General features: G+C 40.0%; 2 protein-coding genes and 1 pseudogene across 5 annotated transcripts, besides 4 other annotated features; 2 read left to right on the top strand and 1 right to left on the bottom strand.

Annotated features, from left to right (window-relative positions):
• The first annotated feature begins 28 nt into the window (after nucleotides 1-28).
• PSMA2 (proteasome 20S subunit alpha 2) lies at nucleotides 29-15,342 on the top strand. Its single transcript, NM_002787.5, has 8 exons — nucleotides 29-85; nucleotides 4,744-4,820; nucleotides 5,535-5,667; nucleotides 7,406-7,528; nucleotides 8,797-8,878; nucleotides 10,272-10,345; nucleotides 14,368-14,425; nucleotides 14,513-15,342. The coding sequence occupies exons 1-8, from the start codon at nucleotides 45-47 to the stop codon at nucleotides 14,627-14,629; spliced, it is 705 nt and encodes a 234-aa protein (NP_002778.1). The 5' UTR covers nucleotides 29-44; the 3' UTR covers nucleotides 14,630-15,342.
• LOC105375252 (serine-threonine kinase receptor-associated protein-like) lies at nucleotides 12,112-13,750 on the bottom strand (annotated as a pseudogene).
• Nucleotides 18,331-18,390: an enhancer, noted in NCBI's record as "active region_25904". NCBI's record gives its function as "activates an Ori minimal core promoter by ATAC-STARR-seq in GM12878 lymphoblastoid cells {active_cell/tissue: GM12878}" and the evidence as "EXISTENCE:reporter gene assay evidence [ECO:0000049][PMID:35858748]".
• Nucleotides 19,910-20,606: an enhancer, noted in NCBI's record as "H3K27ac hESC enhancer chr7:42951196-42951892 (GRCh37/hg19 assembly coordinates)". NCBI's record gives its function as "activates a minimal SCP1, AML or CMV promoter by ChIP-STARR-seq in naive and primed H9 embryonic stem cells {active_cell/tissue: H9 hESC(naive and primed)}" and the evidence as "EXISTENCE:reporter gene assay evidence [ECO:0000049][PMID:30033119]".
• C7orf25 (chromosome 7 open reading frame 25) lies at nucleotides 20,133-22,930 on the top strand. Of its 4 annotated transcripts, XM_047420827.1 has the most exons (3): nucleotides 20,360-20,735; nucleotides 21,010-21,163; nucleotides 21,282-22,930. In XM_047420827.1, exons 2-3 carry the CDS (start codon nucleotides 21,143-21,145, stop codon nucleotides 22,566-22,568), a joined length of 1,308 nt encoding a protein of 435 aa, XP_047276783.1. In that variant the 5' UTR covers nucleotides 20,360-20,735; nucleotides 21,010-21,142; the 3' UTR covers nucleotides 22,569-22,930. The 4 variants fall into 4 exon arrangements, with proteins under 4 accessions (NP_076959.2, NP_001093328.2, XP_047276783.1 ...); NM_024054.3 differs by lacking the exons at nucleotides 20,360-20,735; nucleotides 21,010-21,163 and adding an exon at nucleotides 20,133-20,288 and having other exon boundaries at nucleotides 21,287-22,930; NM_001099858.2 differs by lacking the exons at nucleotides 20,360-20,735; nucleotides 21,010-21,163 and adding an exon at nucleotides 20,133-20,288.
• Nucleotides 20,302-20,561: a silencer, noted in NCBI's record as "silent region_18122". NCBI's record gives its function as "represses an Ori minimal core promoter by ATAC-STARR-seq in GM12878 lymphoblastoid cells {active_cell/tissue: GM12878}" and the evidence as "EXISTENCE:reporter gene assay evidence [ECO:0000049][PMID:35858748]".
• Nucleotides 20,607-21,304: an enhancer, noted in NCBI's record as "H3K27ac hESC enhancer chr7:42950498-42951195 (GRCh37/hg19 assembly coordinates)". NCBI's record gives its function as "activates a minimal SCP1, AML or CMV promoter by ChIP-STARR-seq in primed H9 embryonic stem cells {active_cell/tissue: H9 hESC(primed)}" and the evidence as "EXISTENCE:reporter gene assay evidence [ECO:0000049][PMID:30033119]".
• Nucleotides 22,931-24,725: the final 1,795 nt, after the last annotated feature.

Raw genomic sequence — 24,725 nt, 5'->3', positions numbered from 1 at the left:
ACAGTGCGCATGTGTGCGGCTGTGCTTTGGCTCTTCGGGTAAAGATGGCGGAGCGCGGGTACAGCTTTTCGCTGACTACATTCAGGTATGGAAGGGGCCCTCGAGGTCTTCAGCGTAGTCGAGGTTGCTGGTACTCTGTCGATTTAGTTTTTCCCATCCTGACGTCGGCATTGGTGCTTCTGGAGGGTCCAGTAGGGAATGGAGTTGGAAATGCGGCTTTGCAAAGTCATTTGCCAGGCCGACCCGGGATTCCTGGAGCTTCCTTGGTCGGAGGCTGCTGGAGGGTCGGGGGGATGCGGTTTTGCGGGGTTAACATGGGGCTGCGGGACGGTGAGGCACATAGCCAAGGATTCGCTTTCACTTTGGAGACCAGAAAAGAAGGCAGTTTTAGCTTAACCATCTCTGGGTGGCCCGTTCCGAACTCAGGATTTTTTTCCTGGCTCAAGTAGACCTGATGCGGTGGTTTCTGAAACTTGGAATCTTGGTCAAATATGTGGGGTTCCCTTTTCTTGGAAAACTCTCAGCTTTACAGTTAAGTCGGAGTCTTGGTCTCCATTTGGCACTAGTGTCTTTCAAAACCTCCCGCTTTCGGTTTCTTCGATGCACGAATTAGAAACATAAGGACTAAAAACCGAAAGCCCCTATCACTTTTTTGTGAACCCCTAACAACGAGGCAAGTTTGAGTTTTGGTCTTTTTTTGGTGGACTGGGGGGAACGTCGGGGAGGGGGATGTTTACTTTAAACAAGATTGTAGGTTTTTCTATTGTAGAAAAGGGGATTAGAATAATAAGTTTACTTTCCAAAATACAGTTGGGGCGAACCATGGCTCTCAACGTGAGAAAACCATCGCCGAAGACTTTTAAAAATTGACTGGGGAAGTTTTCTGACTTACCCATTTTCTTAAGGATCAGTAATGCCCAGTTTACTTAAAATGTACTCCTGACAACTGAAGGCAGGCGGGATCTAACTTGTTGAGTACTTTGTTAGGTGCAACTTAACCTTAACCTGCTCCATCTCTTTCCACTGCTATAATGAATGTTATCTCAGCTTCTTACAGATGAACTAACCGCAGCTTGTACAAATTAAACAACTTGTCTAAGGTCATCGGTGAGTAGCTGAGTTGACATTCAAACTGGGTTTTTTTTCTGATAACAAAAATACACTTTCCATTACATAACGTTGTCTTAAATTCCAAAAGTACTTTTCTCTTGGCAGTTTTCAGTAAGCAGTGGGTGTATGTAATAGTTTTTTTGTAACCTTTGAACGAGATTAATTTAATTATGCAATAAAAGGTCTCATTATATTACATATGACAGAATAGTGTGTGCAGGATGTATTCACTGTTCCTATTTATGAAGAAAACAAATGTGGTCCTTTTTTTAGGGACAGGGACTTGGCAGCCTCCAGCTCTTGGGCTCAAGGGATCCTCCTGCCTCAGTCTCTGGAGTAGCTGGGACTAGAGGTGTGCACCACCCTGCCTGCTAATTTTTTTTTTTAAGGCATGAGGTCTTGCGATGTTGCCCAGGCTGCAAATGTGGTCTTTTATCGCGAAGAAAGTGTAATCCTAGTGGAGCTGAAAACATAAAACAACCGTATACCTTCAGGGACTGAATCTTTTTATAACAAATTTTCTTTATTAAAATAAACTTTTGGCCAGGCAGGGTGACTCACACCTGTAATCCCAGCTACTCAGGAGACTGAGGCAGGAGGATCACTTTAGCCCAGGAGTTCAAGACTAGCCTGGGCAACACAGCAAGACCCTATCTCTGAAAAAAATTAAAAAATTAGCCAGGCATGTGCCTGTAATCCAAGCTATTTGGGAGGCTGAGGGCGAGAGGAGCACTTGAACCCAAGAGTTTAGGATTCAGTGAGCTGTGATTCTGCCACTGCACTCCAGCCTGGGTCACAAAGTGATACCCCATATCTAAAAGTTTTTTTTAAAAAAACCAAACTTGTGTGTGTGTGTGTGTGTGTGTGCGTGTGTGTGTGTGTGTGTTTTAACATGGTGGATTCACCTGTTTTAGATAAAAAGAAAATATTTGTTTCTAGCCTCTCATAATCAGAAGTAAACTAATGGTGGAAGGGACTAGAGACCATACAGGATGAAACAGTTCTTGTGGACTACATTTGGTTGAGGAATTGACAATAAATGAGTAAACAAATTGGTGCCTACTAATACATTCTCTTACTAAGGAATTTTATTTTAAATGGGTGAAGGAAGGAATATGACTTTAGATTGAGTAATCAGGAAAGGCTTGTGCTTGGGGGTGATTTTTGAGACTGGAAGATTAAAAGTAACCAGCTATTTGAAGATTCAGGAATAAGGAGACTTGTAGACAGAGGGAACAGCATGTATGAAAGCCCTGAAACTGGGAAGGAGCTTGAGCTCTTAAAGGAATAAAAATGAGGCAAATGTGCTATAGTGAGCAAGGAGATAATGTGGGAGAGGGCTAATCGTGTAGGACTTTGTAGGCCAGAGAAGGAGATTTTATTTTACGTGAACAAAGAAGTTATTACAAAATCTAAGTGTAGGTGACATGGTCCAAAGGTAACTTTGGCTGGGGGTGGAAGTAAGGTTGAGAAAGAGGAAAACCAGTTAGAAGGCTATTTCAGTTATCCCATGTAGGGATGCTGATGCTATGGAATGGGATAGTGGCATTATGGAATATAAAGATGGTTGATTGCTCAGCCAGCTCACAGGTTAGTGAGCTTTCACGCAGTGAAATCATGCAGTGGTAAAGATAGGTATGTACAGGTAATAGGAACAGAGAAATGGTAGCTATTAAGTTTACATGAGCCTTTAAATGTTACCCAGGGGTATATGAATTAGGTATTGAACAATAATTGAAAGCTGGATGGACCCAGAAAGTTATGATATGATTATTGAAATAGTGACTATTAAAGGAAAAGTTCAGCCTAATTTTTTAATTTAAATGTCAGTTGATGTTATTCTGCTCAAATTAATTATATCAAGAGCCTTAAAGCTGTCACCCTTAGGTCTGTTTCTTTAATTGGTCTAGATGTGTCTCTGTCAGCCAAATGATTGTGGATTCCTGGTATTAGGTTATGTGCTGGAATCCTGACTGAACATAGCTACTTTATTGAGGAAGACAAATATTGTAAAAATAATAAAGAGACCGAGGCAGGAGGATTGCTTGAGACGAGGTGTTTGAGACCAGCCTGGGCAGCATAGCAAGACCCTGTTACTAAAAAAAAAAAATAACAATTCAGATATGATGAATCTTAGACAAAGAGGAAGTGCAGGACATCACAGGCATCAGTGAATAGGTATTCAACTTAATCTTGAGGGTTCAGGGCAACTTCCCTTAGGACATGATTGAATGAAAGGAGTTCACAGGGCAATAGAGAAATGCATTTCAGATGGAGGGATTAGCTTGTCAATGAGGCGTTTGAAGTCTGAGAGTAGTCTATGTGTTTGGAGCAAGGAGGGATGGAGTTGAGATTTGAGTGACCAAGGGAATATTCGTAATTATATGAAGAGAAAATACGGCCTTCTGAAATTTATATTTTCATTAGTAGACGGGAGATAAGGACCTAGCTGTGTCACTTTGGACAAATTACTTTCACTCAGACTTTATCTATGAAATTAGGTTGGTTTATGATGATTCCATTTAAACAACTAGGTTGAAATAAAGGATAACTTTAAAAGGCCAGTTTGAGACTTGCGTTTAGCTACCAAATCCATGGAACCAGATCTGTTAAGTGTGACCATCTCATGACTTCTAGAAATAGTTGTATATTATATAGAGAATACTTAATTGTGAGTGATATCTAGGTCTTATTGTCTTAGGCCATGTCTGTTTTCTAAAACCACCCTCCGACCTGAAATATGTGCTGCTGTTTGGTTTTTAACAGACACATACATGTTCTTAATAACATTACTATTCAGTATGTGCTTGTTACTGATTTTATGCCAGACAGTTTTATAGGAATTACTTCACTTAATCACAACAATGCTTTGAAATAGGTACAGGACACTTGTAGGGGACGGTGATTTCAGTACCCCCACAAATACCAAGTGAGGGCGTATTCAAGTCCTGTAGTCAGCCCTGTGGAATCCACTGATACGGAAAACCAGTTGTGGTTACTGTGTCCTCATTTTACAGGTGAGAAAACAGGCATAGAAAACTTAGGGTGAAAAGAAGCAACAGTAATACCACTGCTCCATGTGGCAGACAAAAAACAACCAAAGAGAAAGTAGTGCTTCAGTAGGAGTATGTTCCAATTGCCTTGTAAACTTGGTTTCTTTCTTTCTGTCTTTCTCTTTTTTTTTTTGAGACGAGGTTTCGGCCTTGTTGCCCAGGCTAGAGTGCAATGGTGCAATCTTGGCTTACTGCAACCTCCACCTCCCGGATTCAAGCAATTCTCCTGCCTCAGCCTCCCAAGTAGCTGGGATTACAGGCATGCACCACCATACCCGGCTAATTTTTGTATATTTAGTAGAGACAGGGTTTCACCATGTTAGTCAGGCTGGTCTCGAACTCCTGACCTCAGGTGATCCACCCGTCTTGGCCTTCCAAAGTGCTGGGATTACAAACTTGAGTCATTGCGCCCAGCTGTAAACTTGGTTTCTGTGCCACTTCATGATAGAGGTCAAAGGCCAGTTACTCCCTGGAGTTGGATAAATTGGATTTGACCTGTATGTCTGTACTATCTCAGAGATGTTCTTACAATAAATATTTGATGATATGTGAACTTACAAATACCTGTGTTTCTTTTAAGCCCGTCTGGTAAACTTGTCCAGATTGAATATGCTTTGGCTGCTGTAGCTGGAGGAGCCCCGTCCGTGGGAATTAAAGGTAATGAAATGCTTCATTCATTTCAGATGCCTGTTAGTAGTTATCCTAATTATTTTGGAATTCATTAGTAATTAATTTATACAGAGCTGCAGCAGTATAATTTTTAACAATTTTTTGTTAATTTACAGTGTTTTGGAGTTTAAATAGTAATAAGTCTAAGGTCATTCAAATTTCTTTTCAAAGTAAATAGTAACACCTTTATCTGTTAGTTGTGATATTCACAATAGTCTTTCTCATTCAGAAAACTGAGTTCTTTTTTTGTTTTTCCACTGATTATATCACTACTTCCTGGCAGTTTTTATCCTTATAATTTAGGAAAGCTTAATTATAAAACATAAGCTAAATGTGTTGTGTTTCACTTTAAAAGCCTGTATCATTTATTGTAAATTTCATGTTATAAGAATATTGGGACAAGTAGACAGAAATCCCTTATTTTAAAACATGTGAACTCTCAGGTATCCTTAGAGTGCTTTACAAAAGTTTATGTAATACCTTTAGCTGTAGGGAGGATTTTTTTGTGTAGTACTAAATGACCAGTGAGGGAAAAACTGACTTACCATTTCTTAGGTAATTTTGGTAATAGGACTCCGGAAGAAAAGGTTTTATAAATTAAAGGAAATAAAGGAGTTTGCGTTTAGCGCATCCATAATTAGAAAGCTGTTAAAACAGTCTTAAAAATGATTAAACATTTATGTCTCTCTCTTTTTTTTTAAGCTGCAAATGGTGTGGTATTAGCAACTGAGAAAAAACAGAAATCCATTCTGTATGATGAGCGAAGTGTACACAAAGTAGAACCAATTACCAAGCATATAGGTTTGGTGTACAGTGGCATGGGCCCCGATTACAGGTACTTTATACTTTTTATAGTGTTTCTCACCATCTCATGAATTGATTGTAATCTGTATTTTCAGGAGAAAAACCAAGGTTGTTTTCCTTTAATCTTCCAGTTCCTCTTTTTTTGTGTGCTTTGTTTAGCAATAGCAGCCTCGTTGAGAGCTGAATTTAGTTTGCCTGTATAGGTTACTTTAAAGAGAATAACTCAGATGTGAAAGAGGAGGTAGATAGATTACATAACTCCTCTTTTCTCTGTTCAGCGGACTTTCTCTTCTGACATATTCCTCTTCTACTATCCAGGAACTGGGCGTAAGGGCTTTAGTTTTCGCCAGTGCAGTTTAAAAATGATAAAAGCAATTTAAGTTATAATAAACTATATTTTAAAAAGTATGAGGCAACAAAAGAAAGTATCACTATCCAGAGTTATCTTTTTTCCTGTTCTTCACAAAGGAACAAAATTCTCAAACACCACTGCAAGTTGTTGAGTGTGGCAGCCAACCAGGATCCCAATGCTTGTGTAATCACCCCCTTTATATTTCACAGGAAGAGAGAATAATCTTGTTACTCAGGGTACCAGCAAGTTGAAAGAGATTGACAGCTTTCTGTGTCTGTCATTTAAACAAGTAAAAGGAGTATTACTTTATTGCTCATGATTTTGTGGAGCAAGATAGGTAGAGGCAAAGTTTCACTTCAGTGAATCAACGCAACAAGGTCAGTGGAATGTGATCAGGCAGTGAATCTTGTCACCACTATATAGGCTGGATACTGCATTGTGCTGCCACTGATAGGATAAACTGAGGGATGGGACATGACTGTCACACAGAGGGAAAATGTGCATATTTCAGATCAGTAGTATATGAGCTGGCAAAGATAAATCCTATTTGTCTTGCTAATATATTTGATTGTTATATAATATCTTCTTAATCTCTTTTGACAAATTTTACTTCTGAAAAAAAATTTTAAGAGACAGGGTCATGCTGGGTATTGCTTTTATCATTTTAAACTGCACTGGAGAAAACTAAAGCCTTATGCCCAGTTCCTGTATAGTAGAAGAGGAATATGTCAGAAAGGAAAGTCCATTAAACAGAGAAAAGAGGAGTTATGTACTCTATCTCCCTCCTCTTTCACATCTGAGTTATTCTCTTTAAAGTAACCCAGGGTCTTGCCCAGGCAGGTCTGAAACTCCTGGCCTCAAGTGATCTTCCTGCCTCAGCCTTTTAAAGTGTTGGGATTACAGGCGTGAAACACTGCACCTAGCCGAATTTTACATTTTTAGTTACAAGTAGTTTCTTACTGTTTCTTAATCTCTGAAGGGTACTCCGTGAAGCACAGGCAGAGAGATTGAAACAGTCTGCAGAAAGTAGTGACCTGAAGTGAGAAAAATATGCCCAGAATTGTGTGCCTGTGTGTTTATGTGTGCTTGTGTGTGTGGGCTGGGGTGAGCTGTAAAAAGACAAGCGGCTGCCCTTGGATGGGGGTACAGTCTTGAAGAAGCCGTGGAGCAAGATAAAGTTCTCATTTTTGTACATTAAATCTGTTACTTTTAAGCTAACTGGTACTCTGATGCTCTGATATTTTCTTCTATATCAACTGGAATCCAGTGTTAGAGTAAGACTAGCTTTGATCCAATAGCCACCATTAAAGAGATACATGTTAAACTTGTGCTGCAGGTACATGCCTGTAAAAGGAGAATGAGTCTTCAGGTAGTAGAGCATGTTCTGTGTAATTAAATCTTATTTTTTCCTTGTTAGAGTGCTTGTGCACAGAGCTCGAAAACTAGCTCAACAATACTATCTTGTGTACCAAGAACCCATTCCTACAGCTCAGCTGGTACAGAGAGTAGCTTCTGTGATGCAAGAATATACTCAGTCAGGGTAAGTTGCTTTTTTTACTTGAAATGTGCCATGAATTGTAGGGGGAAGTTATTTTAAAGAGTAGGTATATAAATAGAGTGGGACTTACCATTTCTGTATTTGCTTAACAAGTGGACAGAATCACTATGATGAATATTTCTGATCTTATCTGGCTCTGGAGTATTTATTTAAGGAAAAAAATGTGTTTTCTTGTTGCTTATGTAACAGCAGAAAGCAGCTTCTAGATATACAAAGTTCTTTTGCCAGTGATTAAAACACTTTATGGACAGACAATCATTGCAACTTTAAATTTTTCTTTTTTTTTTTTTTTTTTTTTTTTTTGAGTCAGAGTCTCACTCTGTCGCCCAGGCTGGAGTGCAATGGCATGATCCCGGCTCACTGCAACCTCTGCCTCCTGGGATCAAGCAATTATGCGTCAGCCTCCTGAGTAGCTGGCACCACAGGCGTGCATCACCATGCTTAGCTAATTTTTTTTTTTTTTTTGTATTTTTTTGGTAGAGATGTGGTTTCACTATGTTGGCCAGGCTGGTTTCAAACTCCTGACCTCAAGTGATCTGCCTGTCTTGGCCTCCCAAAGTGTTGGGACTGTGCCTGGCCGCTACTTTCAAATTTATCTTTCTAACCAGAAATGATGGTAAGCACATGATGAAAGCAGCTCTTGGACGTATTCATATTTCTTTTCATTCCCCAGTTTCTTAAGTTTGGGTGTAGATGAGATAGCATATAGGTAGTTGTTGATACGTAAACCTAGTGGAAAAGCTGCATTAACTGAAAGTTGTCATTTTGTAATAGGTAAACCTAGTGGAAAAGCTGCATTAACTGAAAATTGTCATTTTGTAATAGGTAAACCTAGTGGAAAAGCTGCAGTAATTGAAAGTTGTCATTTTGTAATAGGTAAACCTAGTGGAAAAGCTGCATTAACTGAAAGTTGTCATTTTGTAATAGGTAAACCTAGTGGAAAAGCTGCATTAATTGAAAGTTGTCATTTTATTAGGACACTAAATGTTACTACACACTTATTAACCCCAGTGTCTTAGGTAACACTGTTCAATTCAAATTTTTTTTTATTTGGCTACCATTCCTCACTACCATAAAGAGAATTAGTTTTGAATTGATTCATTCAGAAAGGTGTTAAATACTTTCTAAGGAACTTAAAAGTCTAATTCAGTTTGCCTGATAATTTGCTTTATTTGAGAGTACTGATAAATTCTTGAGGATGACTTTAACACCATGAAAATGCCAAGTAATTTTCATTTTCCTCCCTGCAGTGGTGTTCGTCCATTTGGAGTTTCTTTACTTATTTGTGGTTGGAATGAGGGACGACCATATTTATTTCAGTCAGATCCATCTGTAAGTATCATTTAATGTATTTGAGGGATTTGTTAAAAGTGCTCTTTGAATATCTAACAGAAATAGAAGCCATAAAAACTTTACAATTTAGCAGTATTTTCTTCTTTTCTCTTGGGCTTTAGAAAGTATGAGGTTGTGCATTTTTGTGTGTATATTTAAAATTTTGGTAATTTGGTCTTCTGATAAGGAAGCTGTATTAGTTCTACCCTCTTTTGCCATGTTCATTAACTTCATACACTTGGGTGATTTGTTGAAATAGTTATCAAATGTATTTAAACCTGTTACTTCGGGAAATACTGCAATTGAAGATGTGGATCTGGAGGACAGTGTTGTAGTGTTTGCCATCAGTTGAATCTTGGGGCTGACTTGAGTGAGTTTTCCAGCAAAAACATTAATTTATCTTGAATTCAGTGTTTTGCAAAAATGATTGTGTAATTGGTACCTTGGGTAAGTTGTCTGCTCTAATGCAGAAGAATGGTATCTGAATAGAAGGTGTTTGTAATGGATAATACTACTCCACATCTGTCCCATTTGCTATGAGAACCTTAAGACAAAATTCAAGATTAGGAAATGATCTTTCATGTTTTATGGATTATTAGATAATTACAGGTTCACTCAATGCAAACCTTATAATCTACTTTTATAACCTGAGATGGCAAAAGAAAAATATTTTGGTTGTTAATTAAATCAGAAAAATAAGTATTTTGGGAACTTTGATAGTGTTGTTACTCCATCTCTGAGCTTCCAAAGCTAAATGACAGGCCCTCTTATCTTCCTTTCCAGAAGGTAGCAGAAGCCACCATTTCTGGAATCCTGATTTTATCTTTTGTCCTATTTTCCTCTGTTGTGTCTAAAAAACAATTGTTTTCATTTAAAACATATTGGATTATGTTTCTTTTGGTATTTTTTTCTAATGAGATGCTCTCTTTTTAATTCACTAATGATCAAGAGTTGATCACCATTTTTCAGATTTATATGATAGATTTTTAAATCGCTTCAGTCTATTAAACTAAAATACTACTCTTGATTATTTGCTTTAAGTTAACCTCAATTTCTTTTAACTGGATTTTTTACATAATTTTACACTTAATTGCATCATCACCAGCTCATCAGTTTGATGAGTTCTGATATATGTAAATGCCTGAAGAAACCATTACTACAATGAGGATATCAAAAATTTCCAGAACCTCCAAAAGTTTCTTCATGCCTTTTTGGTTTCCATCCTTCTAGCCTTCTTAAAAAATAACCTATTCTGTGACGTTTTCCATTCTAATAATATTCTGTGACCTTCGAAGTTAGAGAACAATTAATAAAGCTAAAAATTAAATGGCAGGGCAATATAATTGTATTTGTGTTTTAAAATATGGTTTTTTACTCTTTCTTTCCTGATTAGGGAGCTTACTTTGCCTGGAAAGCTACAGCAATGGGAAAGAACTATGTGAATGGGAAGACTTTCCTTGAGAAAAGGTAGGCCTACTCATTGTAACTGCATTCTTTAGCAAACTCACTTTATGGTTTTTGGTGCTCTTTAAGTAAATTAATATCATGGGACTAAAGAAACTTGCTATATTACTCTGTATATGAATCTAGTTACAGATAAACCAAAAACTTCTCTCCCTTCTAGTTTCCTAGACTTCAGTATATTAAGTGGTAATTAATATTCATTTCCTAAGGAGTTCTCTTTCTACATTCTATGGTTTCCTAAATGCTTTTGGTTTTTTTACTTTTTACTTCACTTTTTGTGCCATTTCAGGAGGGAAAAAAAAGAACATTGAATCTGGAATAAAACATTTGGGGAGACAAATTTTTAAATGATTTAATGATAACAGTTTACGACAGTAAAAAAAATTGTGAAACCAAATGCCTGGAGTTGAAGGTATATTAAATATTTGATACATGTGCTTGATAAAAAGTGGAGCACTATGTAAAAATCTGTCGGTGCCCAAGTACAAGCTGCTCTTACTTATTTCCAGCTGTATTCTAGTCTCAGTGTTACTGTAGTCCTTCGGGACTCTCCAAGCTTTTGAAGAAGAAAATGTTTTATTTCTTGATATGTAATAGTTGCACATATTTTTGCAGTACATGTGATATTTTGATACCTGTATACAGTGTCAAATCAGGGTAATTGGATATCCATTACCTCAAACATCTGTCTTTTCTTTGTGTTGGGAACATAGCAGATCTTCTAGCTGTTCTGAAATATACAGTAAATTGTTAACGATAATTTCCTGACTGTACTACTGGACACCAGAACTTATTCCTCCTGTCTGACCGTATTTTTAGACCCCTTAACCAACTTCCTTCAGTTCTTCTTCCCTTCTCCCTTCCCAGCCTCTGGTAACCACTGTGCTACTCTCTCCCTCCATGAGATCCACTTTTTTAGCTCCCACATATGAGTGACAACATGCAATATTTATCTTTCTGTGCCTGGCTTATTTTGCTTAACGTAATGACCTCGAGTTCCATCCATGTTGCTGCAAATGACAGGATTTCATTTTTTTATGGCTGAATAATAATAAAAAACTTCGTAACTCCGTTTAACAGATGAGCCTTCACAGTACATTTTTCACGTAACGTTAAGGTTATTAAAAATCTTAGGCCTGGATTTAAATGGTAAACTTAATCTTAGGCTCTTAAAGCACTTTTTCATTTTTCTTTTATATATTAATGAGTCTTCCAAAGATTTCACATTGTTATTACATGATATGTTATGATTTGTTTTATTTTTTGTTTCAGAGGCATTTTATTTAGACAACTAAAAATAATTAGATGTTCAGAACCAGTGTACAATGAAAGAAATTAAACCAGTTACTTTATCATGTATTCCCTCTTTACAACCAAAGCAAAAAACAATAGCAACAAAGACATTCTGCTTTAAGGGAAAAGTCAGACAAATAAGCCAATATATTTTTCTTCTCCATAATGACATAAACAGCTGCAAGAACTCTTAATTGTAATAAGAGAAGTTGGATGTTATCTTGTACATATTCATTAAAAAGATGACAGGCCATTGTACTACAAGAGGATAACTCAACCTCCCTTCATCTGATACTCTTGAGATTTCACTTATGGGTAACACCATGTTAGTTGTTTCAGCAATGGAGCTAATTCATATTCCTCATTATTTATTGCTGTTTTTGCCTTAAGCAGAGAGTAACTCTGGAAGGCTGATGCTTTTCTCTGCTTGCTCGTTCTAGTCCAGTTGTATGCTGTCTGTGGCACATGCTTGATGTTCAGGCCTTAACTTGAGGAGTTGAAGAATAGATGGAATCTGAATTCTCTGAAGCAATTTCTTCTAGCTCTTCTCTTGTCTTTGGAAAACCAATCTTTGGCTTTGCCAGCTCACCAGTATCTTCTTCAGGAAGCACACATTTCCAAAGGCCATATGTTTTTCCTACCACAGTTTGCCAGTCTCAGTGTTCCATCTTCAGAACCACTGGCATAGAGTTCTCCATCAGGATCAAATCTCACACAGTGAATAGGACCAGAGTGTCCTTTGTAGGATTCTAATTCTTCTCCACTATTATCATCATACTTATAAGTTTAACATCTTCACCACCTGCAACAAGAAATTCTTTCTCAAGGTGAAGAGATTCAGAGTTAATGTTTGCAGGAGCTTGAAAGGATTTAATTGGTTCCAAACTTACTGTACTGTCAAAAGCACTGGATCAGCCATAAGTTATTACCAAAATCTCTCCCTCAGAAATATATTCCATACTACTAGCCAACATAATAAAATTTAGAGATTTCACTTCTGTCATAGTAGCATGATCCCAAAGTCTTAACAGTTTTGTCATCAGAAGAAAGAATCTGTTTATCCTCACTGTACCATAGGGCCTTTTTAATATCAGAGCTGTGATCACTAATTTCCTCAGGTTCTGCTTCGGGTTTGTTCAAGTCATATATGCAAAACAGTTTATTCTGTCCCCTGGTTAACAAATAATTACTATCCTGCATGAAATCCATAGTCTTGATAATGTGTTTATGAGCCAGGGTCATCAGTTCATCTCCTGGGATAGCATCCCACACTTTGTGAAATCTGCAGCTGCTGTGGCTGCTTTGGTGGCATCCTTATTCAGTGTTGCATTCCAGACAGCATCTTTATGACCCAAAATTGTTCCAATCCAGTCTCCTGTATCTCCCTGGCATAGCATAGGTTTGCCGTCTTTGCAAGCACTGATTTAGAAATACTCATAAGACTGGCCAGGCGCAGTGGCTCACGCCTGTAATCCCAGCACTTTGGGAGGCCAAGGCAGGCGGATCACCTGAGGTCAGAAGTTCGAGACCAGCTGGGCCAACATGGTGAAACCCCGTCTCTACTAAAAATACAAAAATTAGCCAGGAGTGATAGCGCGCGCCTGTAATCCCAGCTACTCGGGAGGCTGAGGCAGGAGAATCACTTGAACCTGGGAGGCGGAGTTTGCAGTGAGCCAAGATTGCACCACTGCACTCCAGCCTGGGCGACAGAGCAAGATTCTGTCTTGAGGGAAAAAAAAGCCCCTAAGGCATGATGCCACTGAAGGCCAAGTCAGCCACGGGCCATATGTGGCCAGAACAGGTGAGCAGCATCAGTCTCATTGCTATGGAGGTGGTGAACCCAGTGATTGGGCTGGTGGGCTGAGGGTCATCCTTGTCTTTTCTCCTCTGGTACAGCGCCCGGGGTTCCTCCAGGCTTCACCCTAACACGGGCTGAGCAGAGAAAAAGGAAAAGGTGGCACCGAGATTAGGAAGGAGCTAGGGAGGGGCTGGGGAGTCTGGGAAGGGTGAGCAACAGTTGACAATGGAGGGAGGAAAGTAGGGGATGGGGAGAACCGAAGAAACGACCCAGCCACTCTTCGCACCGTCCACACTGGTATCGGCAGGAAGTGACATGTTATGTTTTAACTTATAAGAAAAAGATTTTAGCAAAGTTCTGATTTTTCTGTGTTTTAAAAATTATAATAATGCCACCACATCCTGATTGTTAAAATATTTATACTTAAGAAGTTTCCTGGCTGGGTGTGTTGGCTCGTGCCTGTAATCCCAGCACTTTGGTAGGTCAAGGCAGGCGGATCACGAGGTCAGGAGATCGAGACCATCCTGGCTGACACAGTGAAACCCATCTCTACTAAAAATACAAAGAAATTAGCTGGGCGTAGTGGGCGCCTGTAGTCCCAGCTACTTGGGAGGCTGAGGCAGGAGAATGGCATGAGCCCGGGAGGTGGAGCTTGCAGTAAGCCAAGATAACTGTGTCTCAAAAAAAAAAAAAAAAGTTTCCTAAACTAAACTCATTTTAGGGTCATACCGTTCATGATGTTGGGAATTGAGCACCAGATATTGTCAGTTTTTTTAATCTGGAGACAGCTACAAGGAGGTGATTAAAAGAATGTGTAATTTAGTATTTTTAAGATGTTTAGAGTTTTAAAAACTTACGTTGTTGCTGTCATTGTATTTAAATAGTTATAAAGAATATAAACAATGATATAAGTAATTTTTTTTAAATTCTTCAGATATAATGAAGATCTGGAACTTGAAGATGCCATTCATACAGCCATCTTAACCCTAAAGGTTAGCTCAGTATTCAACAACTGGATTTATAATGATTTCATGATTAACTGCTTAGAAAATTGACCTTTTTTCCTCCCTCCTCAATAGGAAAGCTTTGAAGGGCAAATGACAGAGGATAACATAGAAGTTGGAATCTGCAATGAAGCTGGATTTAGGAGGCTTACTCCAACTGAAGTTAAGGATTACTTGGCTGCCATAGCATAACAATGAAGTGACTGAAAAATCCAGAATTTCAGATAATCTATCTACTTAAACATGTTTAAAGTATGTTTTGTTTTGCAGACTTTTTGCATACTTATTTCTACATGGTTTAAATCGACTGTTTTTAAAATGACACTTATAAATCCTAATAAACTGTTAAACCCACCTTCCAGCCTTTTAGGAGTTGCTAAAATTTTAACAGTTATTTCCTGCTTTTTATCACAGTTGATTTCTGAAGACTACATTGCCAAGCAGAATGATGAAATGACTTTTTCGTTGTCAGGCAATTTTGGTTAAGTCAAATCTTAATGCCCTCTTCGCTATCAGATGTTGCCTGTGTTTCCATAAAGCAAAATGCTGATTTTGGTAAAAAACATGACTGCTTCTAGAGCTGGGAGGATCTGCAGACTTTCACGGATTCATGGAACAAGAAAAGAAGCATAGGTACTTTTAGGTGCCATTAGGTATTGATCAGTGAAATCCTAGGGTGCTCTATGAGATTGTACTAGGCCTATGAAGAGTGGTAAGCCAAATAGGTCTCCATGGGAGATACATTATGTAAATAAATAAACAATGGTTTGCTGGTTCCTGTTGGTGTCTCCACAAGTAGGTAAACATGTTTAAAGGAACCCGGGTTCTTAGATTTTGTTAGACTTTTTAAACTCAAGGATGAGCATAAGTGCTTGAAATAAAATGCTAATACTTAAGTGTCAAAACTATGGCTTAAGGCTCTTGTTAATTCATTAATGTAATCTCAGTATAATAAATAGCTTCACTATAATGAAAGTTATAATTAAGTATCTGCACTCATATGAAGGCAGTGCTTAGGTTTTTTTTTTTAAATTTTTTTTAAGGCAACTTAGGATAAAATCATTAATTTGGTTTACAGAACATAAGGAGAGTTTATAAGCATAATCATTCTTACCAACGTGAAAGTATAGTGGGCAATTCCATGATTTAAATGGAGCTCAGAAGATTCTAAGATTTAGTTAAGGGCAAAAGAACCTTATTTTGGAGATTTTTCTCAGGGTCCCCAGTTCTGTTCCCTACCATCACTATAACACCCATATCTTGTTTTAGGTGGCAAAAGCATTAAGGAGATGAAAGATGGTAACTTTGGCTTCCTGTTTCAAGATGTTTATCTTGGCCTTGTCTAATAATCTCTCTTATGGGCTCTTGATATATTTTGACTTTGGCACACTAGAAAGCGGACATAGTAGCAAAAAGGTCTTTGAAGTCAAGTCTCAGCTATCTCACTTACTGGCTGAGTGACTATGTGAGGTAATTATCTCAGGGTTGGTTGGTTGGTTTGTTTTTTGAGACAATCTCTCTGTCACCCAGGGGGAGTGCAGTGGCGTGATCTTGGCTCACTGCAACCTCATCCTCCCAGGCTCAGGTGATCAATCCTTTTACCTCAGCCTCCCGAGTGGCTGGGACTACAGGCGCGTACCACCATGTTTGGTTTATTTTTGTATTTTTAGTAGAGACGGGGTTTCACCATGTTGCCCAGACTGGTCTCCAACTCCTCAGCTCAAGCGGTTCACCCGCCTTGGCCTCCCAAAGTGCTGAGATTATAGGCATGAGCCGCTCTGCCCGGCCATATCTCAGGGTTTCCTAAGGACTAAATTTGATAACACAAGTTAAAGCCTGGTGTGGTTAATAGTTACTCTGTTAACTGCCGTTGATTTTGTTTAGTCCTTCTATAATGTCCAGTATCAAAAGAGCAAAGCAATGTCAAAATTCTACAAATCAAAGAAGGGAAAATTAAAGGCATGTTAATATTTCAGAGGTAAGGAAAACTCATGTAGGTTTTTATTGTGTGCTAACAAAATTAGGCCTAAAGAATAAAGGGAGGAAAAATCAGCTGAACCAGATTTGATCCAGGTTCTGTTTTCCACCTCCTGCCCCCATTAAATGCAAAGCCCAGTTCCAGTTCAAGCTGCCTACAACACTTCTCCCTTTGTTCTGTTTATTCTTTCCACGGGCCTTAAAATTAAGTTGTTCCTTTTTGTCCCAGTTCTTAGAGTTCTTTGATGTAGCAACCCACTGCATTCCTAAACATTCCAAAACTCTTGAACCATTTCCAGCCTGTGGATTTTAGCTTAAGTATCATAATGTTTCTAATGTTCAGAGCCTCTGCCTTTTGGTTCATTTTGTATCTTCTAACCCTTAAAACATTTTAACTCCATTTGTTCTACTTCCTCCCAGTTCTACTGAACCATGAATTTAAATTTGCAAAGCAATTAATAGCAGTGAAACATGGAGATGCTTAAAATTCACATACACAGGCAATAAAGAATACTAATACAGAGCCTTATAATTATCAAGTGCTGATAACACTCAAGCATCCCTGAAGGAAAAAAAAAAAAACCCAACCTTGAGATAATTACCTTGCACAGTCTCTCAGGCATCAAGTAGGTGATAAGTGAACATTGAAGGGTTTTCATCTATTGCTCAGTTTTCTTCATAGAATGAAACTGCCAACTCTTAGTACTTACCTCACCTTTTTTTCAGGAGTCTACTCACCCATGTAGGCAAGCTCTCTGAGCCCCCCATTGCAAAGAAGAGCAAGTTGATGTTCAGCGAATTGCCCAAGAACATATAGGAGTTGAGAGTTCCCTTGGATTAGAATCCTGATTTCCTGAAAACCAGTCCTGGTGGTTCTGTATGAAAGTCACATTGCTTCACACAGTTCCTTCAATTTAGAGCTCCTCCCTCCACCCTGTTCTCAAGAAACTTATGAAACTAGCAATATCTGGCTGCCAATTATCTGATAACTTCCTAAGCATGAGCATATTTAAAAAGTTAAGTAAAATGTGAGTGCTACTCCCTGAAAGCCATCACTTTTGACTTTTTTAGGTGTTTCATGAGGTACTTGCCTCCGTATTTCAAAATAGTAGGATTATATGCCTTTTTCTTGGATTCCCGGAGTTGAGCTGCCAGACTTCCCATTGTGCAAGATGAGAATTTAGAATCCTCATATCACACTGACTTCCTTCTCCCTACCTCAATTAAATCATGTTGAAGATTTTTCTTATGACTAAGTGTACTACAATTTACATTTCCGGAACAACTTTCCTGGCAGTGATAACCGCTTTTTTTTCTTTTTTTTTTTTTTTTGAGACAGTCTCACTCTGTCACCCAGGCTGGAGTGAGGTGGCACAAATCAGTTCACTGTAGCCTTGACGTGGGGTCAAACGATCCTCCCACCCCAGCCATTGCAGTAGGTGTGAATACAGATGTCAGCCACCATGGCCAGCTAGTTTTTTTACTTTTTGTGGAGACAGGGATCTCACTACATTGTCCAGGCTGGATTTGAACTCCTGTGCTCAAGTGATTCTCCCGCCCTGGACTCACAAAGTGTTGGGATTACAAATAAGCCATGGCGGCGCCCAGCCCACTTGGTTACTTTGTTTTCTGCGTAGCTGTCACCAATCCTTGCCAGATTCCCCCAACAGAAATTTAACACCCTCTGCTTAATATTTTCCTCATCAGTCAGATATCAGGCACTCTGTATCAGTTCTCTTCCCCACACCTCAGAGAAGTTTCTCTTAGAACCCTCTGTCTTCCTGTTCCAATCCAGGCTAGGTGCTTGTTTGAAACTATCTTTATTCTCCTTGCTTTCTCTCTGAATTGGCTGGGTTTAAAAACTCTAAGAAATAAATTATCTCCACATTTTGAAAGCATTACTCCCTTCTAAATTCCAGTGTTGCTGATAGGAAGCCTAATACTATTGCGTATGTGATGCCAAGTCCTTTGTAAGTTTTCCCCTCTGCAGCTCTTGGTTTTTCTCTTATCTGCTGTGTTCTGAAACTTCACAACCATGTTCCTTTGTGTGGGTTTCTTAATAGTCATTGTGGTGAGCACTCAGTGGGCCCTTGCACTGTGAAAAACGTTTCTGTTTGCTAAATTTTCTATTAAGTTTTTGAAAAATTTTCTCTTCATTTTGTTTTTGTTTCTAAACTCCTGTTAATTGGATACTGGATCCTTTTGTTTTTGCTCCATTTTTCATCTATTTCTACTTTCTAAATTTTTCCAACTCATTGATGTTTTGAAATTTGGGATATGATTTTTACTACAGAAGAACCATTTCCTGTGCTCTGCTGTCTCCTTAAAAAAAGAAATCCTCTTGTTTCATAGCTGAAATATCTTTTATTTGAAGATGCTAGTTATAGAATACTTTTTGAGACCATTTTGTTCTGTTTTCCATTTCCTTCAAATAACAAAAACGTTGGGAAATGCTGTGTTCGTGAGGCTCACACTAGGGGATGCTGAATGTTGGTATTGCCGAGCCATTTCTCTAGGGTCTTTTGTCTACTCATTTCTTCAGAGAAAAATAGGGTTATGGGGAGATAGTGGTAGGGAGCGGTAGAGGGGTGCCTGCATTATGGGAGGGGCAGAGAAGGGGGCTGCTAGCATTGCACTATTCAGTAGGAAAACATCATGGCACCTCTCATCCTTTGTTAGGCTTTGTGTCTGGAATCCCTCTGATGCCCTGTCTTTAGCATCTTAAACTAGTCTTCTGCCTGAACAATTTACTGCCCTCCCTTCTACCTTCAAGGCACCTGAAGCTTTCTGGGGTTCTGCTTTGTGAATCAGTGGCTAAATATCCCCTTCTACAAGCAGTTTGCTCAGTTCTCCTGACACCATCTGCAAAGAGGGTGCTTGGGTTCAGGTAACCTCCCTATGGCTCACTTATCTGTAAAGCATACTTAATATCTCTACCTTTTAGGTTGTTTAAAGGAGTGAACAATGTGTAAAACACTTAGAACAATGTCTGTCACGCTGTAAGGACTGAATAAGTTATTGCTCTTGTCCTCCAAAAATGTGTTGGTATAACCGGTCTGCAGTCATCTCTTCTCTTGTTCTTTTTGCCTTTGTTTGTTCCCTTTGTCATTGCTTTACTGTTATTTGGAGAAGGAGCATTGCTTTACTGTTAAGTTTGGAGAAGGAGCAGGATACACAGGATTAATTATAACTGGAAGTCCTCTTTAATATTTTAAATTAGCTTTACTTTCTTACAGCCCTAATCTTTCTGGGTGACTCTGGACACTCTACTACAGTAATATGAATATGGCAGCCCCTCGGAAGCCATGCAATCATTTCTTCTCTTCAGAAGGACAGCACACTTTCTTTGGAGGGCCCAGGACAATGCAGTGGAAAGTGCTTTGGCTTGGAGGCAGAAGTCCCAGAGGCAGTACTTCTCAGCTGTCACCTCTGACAAGCTTCTCCAGCGTTTCTTCTGTTAAAATGAGCCCCCAAAATGCCTACGACCCGGTTGCGATCGAGTGGCCGACGCCCCCAGTGGGAGTGAGGCCCAGCACGCGAGCTCGGTCCCTCTTCCTGGAGCCAGGTGGGTGCGCGCCTTCAGGCTCACCCGGCGGCGCAAGCGGGAGAAGCCAGGTGCCCTCAATAAACATGGCCGCCACGCCAGCGTCAACCCGGCTCGGGAGGCCGCGCTGCCGCTTGGGAATCGCAGGTTTGGCGTCACCCGGCCCGGAACCACGTGATGCAGGAGGTGCCCGAGGCGGCGGGGCTCGCGCGGGTGGAGCCGCCTCGGCGTTCGAGCGGGGTGGGGGCTGCCCGGTTGAGATTTCCCGGCGGGTCCCGGCCTCTGCGTGCACGCGCCTGCGTGCTCGCGCTCGCGGTTCTGGCGCTGCCGGTGAGGAGCCGGGGAGCGAGGCGGGGAGGCTGGGAGCGGGGCGCCTCTTCTGAGGCCAGAGGGGGCTGGGCAGGGCCGGCCCGGCGGGAAGGGGGTCGGCCGCGCGCTATCAGCGCCTGGTCCCTGAGCCGCGGCGCTGGCGGTGGGGGCTTTTCGGCCCCGGCCCCTCCTGGCAGGGCCCGGCTGTGCAGGTGGCCGGGCAGGGCCGAGGGCCCCGCAGCCCACCGAGAAGGCCCCGCCGGCCTCTGGCCCGCCCACCCGGCGACCTGCGCTGGGGCCGCTTGCACGGCCGCCGCGGGTTGCAGCCTTGGAGTTTAGTTTCATCTTCGGATTTTCCTTCAGAGTCGGAGTGGGAGTGGGACGCAAGTTGGTGGTCTTCTTCGGTCTTTTAAAATAGTCTGGGTTGACGTCAAATGCAGAAATGAGGCAGTGTTGATTTTTTTTGGCGTAAGTACCCCAAGCCTCGGGGGAAATCATGAGGCAGCCGGTTGAAGGAGACCAACTCGGGAAGGAGGAAAAGGTTAGGGAGGCTGAAGTGCTCAGTTTAGGACAGACACTTGCTTTGGACAGTTTGCTAACTAGCCAGTCTGTGTGTATTTTTGTTTTCGGCATTTTTGTCGCCTTTATTAAAATTTCTCAGCAGTTAAACAGGCCGCTGATAGACATAAGGGAATTATTTATATAGCAGATTGCCCAACTCTTGCATTGTATCCTAACCTAGGACCATGCTGTGTCCCCATGGCTTTCAAGCTGAAGAAATGAAGGTCTAAAGTGTGTCAGACGTACCTAAAGAAGAGTTCAAAAGTGTAGCTGCCATCCTTTCCTTAGCTATCAGAGGAAGCAGTCACTCCAGAATGAGACATACACAAGCCCGGGTTCATAGACTCACCCTCCATAAGCTGTGTTGCTAGATTGAAGTTTTTAATCACCAGTGAAGAATTGATTGTCATAATTTTAGGAGACTACTGAAGTTTGCCTTGTTTCTTTCCCTAGGAAAGGAATAATGCTGACAGCATGTCTGCACATTCCATGCTCTGTGAACGAATCGCCATAGCCAAGGAACTGATCAAGAGAGCAGAATCACTTTCTAGATCAAGAAAAGGTGGCATAGAAGGTGGTGCAAAGCTGTGCAGCAAATTGAAGGCAGAATTAAAATTCTTGCAGAAAGTAGAAGCTGGGAAAGTAGCTATTAAAGAGTCTCATTTACAGAGCACTAACCTAACACACCTGAGAGCCATTGTGGAATCAGCAGAAAACCTGGAAGAAGTTGTTAGTGTTCTTCATGTCTTTGGTTATACAGATACCTTAGGAGAAAAGCAAACCCTTGTGGTAGATGTAGTTGCAAATGGTGGTCATACTTGGGTGAAAGCCATTGGCCGGAAGGCTGAAGCTCTTCATAACATCTGGCTGGGCAGGGGCCAATATGGTGACAAAAGCATCATTGAGCAGGCTGAAGACTTCCTCCAGGCCAGTCACCAGCAGCCAGTGCAGTATAGCAACCCTCACATCATCTTTGCATTTTACAACAGTGTCTCCAGCCCCATGGCAGAGAAGCTGAAAGAAATGGGCATATCTGTGAGAGGAGACATAGTAGCAGTCAACGCTCTGTTAGATCACCCTGAAGAGCTTCAACCAAGTGAGAGTGAATCAGATGATGAGGGCCCTGAACTTTTGCAGGTGACCAGAGTTGACCGAGAAAATATACTAGCAAGTGTTGCGTTTCCAACAGAAATTAAGGTCGATGTGTGCAAAAGAGTAAATCTGGACATTACTACTTTAATCACATATGTATCTGCCCTCAGCTATGGAGGCTGCCACTTTATTTTCAAAGAGAAAGTGCTCACAGAACAAGCAGAGCAAGAGAGGAAAGAGCAGGTTCTACCTCAGCTGGAGGCCTTTATGAAGGACAAGGAGTTGTTTGCTTGTGAATCTGCTGTCAAGGACTTTCAGTCTATTTTAGATACCTTAGGAGGACCTGGGGAGAGAGAGAGGGCCACTGTGTTAATTAAGCGAATTAATGTGGTACCAGACCAGCCTTCTGAGCGTGCCTTGAGACTAGTGGCCAGTTCAAAAATTAATAGCCGCTCATTAACAATTTTTGGGACGGGAGACACCCTAAAAGCCATCACAATGACTGCTAATAGTGGTTTTGTCAGAGCTGCAAACAACCAGGGTGTTAAATTTAGTGTGTTTATCCATCAGCCCAGAGCACTTACTGAGAGTAAAGAGGCTCTAGCCACCCCCTTACCAAAAGACTACACAACTGACAGTGAACACTAAAGATACCCTTTAAATATTTTTGTGGAAGTAAGTTATTTATACCAAAGGCTGGGTCTTCCCATCTAAACTGGTGGGAAAAAAGGTCTATAGTAAAAGTAAAACTGAGAACTCTTAAACCAGTAGAGTTTCTTTGTCTCTCATCTAAAGTATATAACCTCCCAAAGTAGAAAAAGCACAAGAGAGAAGCTTATCTATCAAACTGTCTGCATTAGTGCAATTAAGAACCGAAATACGTCTATATAAAGCTTTCAGCTGTATTGTAATACTTTGATTCGATAGGGCTACAACTCCCCTACTGCTAACCACATTTCATGGAATATGGCTACATTGCATCTTGCATTAAATATCTGGAGAAAATTCAAGCCTGTTTTTCATTGTATTGCTTTATATGGTTTAGGCTGGGAGGTAGTCGTTGGTAATCAATTTTAGATTCTAAGGTTAACCATTAATGAAAAACTTATTTGCTGTATGTCAGGTGCAGTCTGATAGGTGTTTTTACAAAAAGTACATAATACAGAAGAAATGAGAAAGTGAATTATGGTTATTTGAGTGCCATGAACCCATTGGTAGACCTTTGTGAAAAGAAAGCCAACAATCTTACTACTATAAGATAAAACCAGGACACTTAAGGTAAAATACTAATTTGAATGAATTGAAAAAGGATTATGTAAAAGATTTTAAAAATTCAATACAGAAAGCCCCCATATTATAAGTATTTGAACAATAAATACTATTTTCATGTTTCATTTGCAAGTGGCAAGTGACAACTGCATTACCTTACTTTCATGAGATGGTGACAGAATATTCCATGCCAATTCCATGACACAAGTTGTAGTTAAAAATACACTTCTATGGCTACATTGCGCTAGATACTTTATCAGTTTTCAATAAAGCAAAACTAGCAAAGTCGGTATGTATTCACCACATTTAAAAATTTGGAATTTGAGTCCTGGAGCTTAAATATTAACTCATGCTAAGTGTAGGAGCTGGTATTAAAACTTGATGTTTCTAGCCACAGTCTGATCTCTTTCTACCATGCCAAATGTCGTATTTGTTGAGAAGAGAATCTCAATTTACAGCCACAGTGTTTGTTGGGGTGGAATTTGGTTATTGGCATTCATGAACACCCTGAAATGAATGCAAAATTAAGTGTATGGGGGTGGTTCTCTGGGGAGAGATTGCTTTACTAAGTCAGAATACATTTTCTAGTAGAAAGGCTGTGATTTGCTTCCAGTTTAGTGTAGAGTGGTATATGTCTAGTGTTAGAAATGGAATTTAAGCTTTTTGAGCATCTATTAAGGTCATGTAGTACTTGATACTATTAAGTACCAAGCATTATAATAGTTTGGTGTGAAAAGATGAATGTTTGCTCTAAGGAATTCTTAAGTCTAAAGTGGAAGTAAACAACTGAAGTGCAATTAAATGTACTAAATTCTCTAGGATATGTTGAAAATACTATGGGGACAGAGTAAAGGAGTACTTGTTATGGGGCCAGGAAGTCAGAGAGGAAGTGTTGTTTGAGGGTTTGGGGTGTGAAATTTCACAAGATGTGTGAGAAAGGGTACTCAAAAGTACATGGAGGAATGGGATTGGAAAAGTACCAGAACTGTGACTATGAGGACCTGTTCAGGGACCAGGCTCAAGTGGACAGTTTATAAAACAAGATGGAGCTAGAAAAAAAAGTCAAAGTTCTCTAAAGAGTTTGGCATTAGAGAGCCATTGGTGATTTTTAAGAAAGTGTGGCTTATGATCAGGTCTCTTAAGGAAACCACAAAAATCTGTAGTGTGGATAAAAATTGAAAGAAAGTTTGGACTATAATGACCTTAGCTAGAGCAGGAATGATGGACTGTAGAGTCATGGATACATGTTGGATTTGTTTGAGGCAGAATTGACATATTAATGTACTCATTCGTTTAATAAGCATTGAGTGACAGCCATGTGTCAGACACAGTACAAAGGGCATGGCATATAAAAGACTTGTTTTAAAGGAGCAGAAAGAAGGTAGATTTCTATCCCTGCTCCCTATGAATCAATCAATACCTAAGAACTTGGGATCTTTGCCAACTAGAAAGTGGACAGGCCACAGCACTCTTTAGGAAACTGCTTTGTGAAGTGACCACAGCTGTGCCCTGCCAAAGACCATGATGTTTTTTCAA

The sequence above is a fragment of the Homo sapiens genome, chromosome 7, assembly GCF_000001405.40.
Source record: "Homo sapiens chromosome 7, GRCh38.p14 Primary Assembly".
In the NCBI taxonomy this organism is placed as follows: Eukaryota; Metazoa; Chordata; class Mammalia; order Primates; family Hominidae; genus Homo; species Homo sapiens.
This window is presented reverse-complemented; position numbering and strand designations above follow the sequence as displayed.

What these genes read in the sequence shown, in the direction of transcription:
- PSMA2 (NM_002787.5), top strand. Translation starts at nt 45, where the DNA reads ATGGCGGAGCGCGGGTACAGCTTTTCGCTGACTACATTCAG. An exon ending in TTTTCGCTGACTACATTCAG is followed by an intron (nt 86 to 4,743) that starts GTATGGAAGGGG and finishes GTTTCTTTTAAG; the next exon opens with CCCGTCTGGTAAACTTGTCC. An exon ending in CAAGAATATACTCAGTCAGG is followed by an intron (nt 7,529 to 8,796) that starts GTAAGTTGCTTT and finishes TCCTCCCTGCAG; the next exon opens with TGGTGTTCGTCCATTTGGAG.
- C7orf25 (XM_047420827.1), top strand. Translation starts at nt 21,143, where the DNA reads ATGAGACATACACAAGCCCGG. An exon ending in TGAGACATACACAAGCCCGG is followed by an intron (nt 21,164 to 21,281) that starts GTTCATAGACTC and finishes TTCTTTCCCTAG; the next exon opens with GAAAGGAATAATGCTGACAG.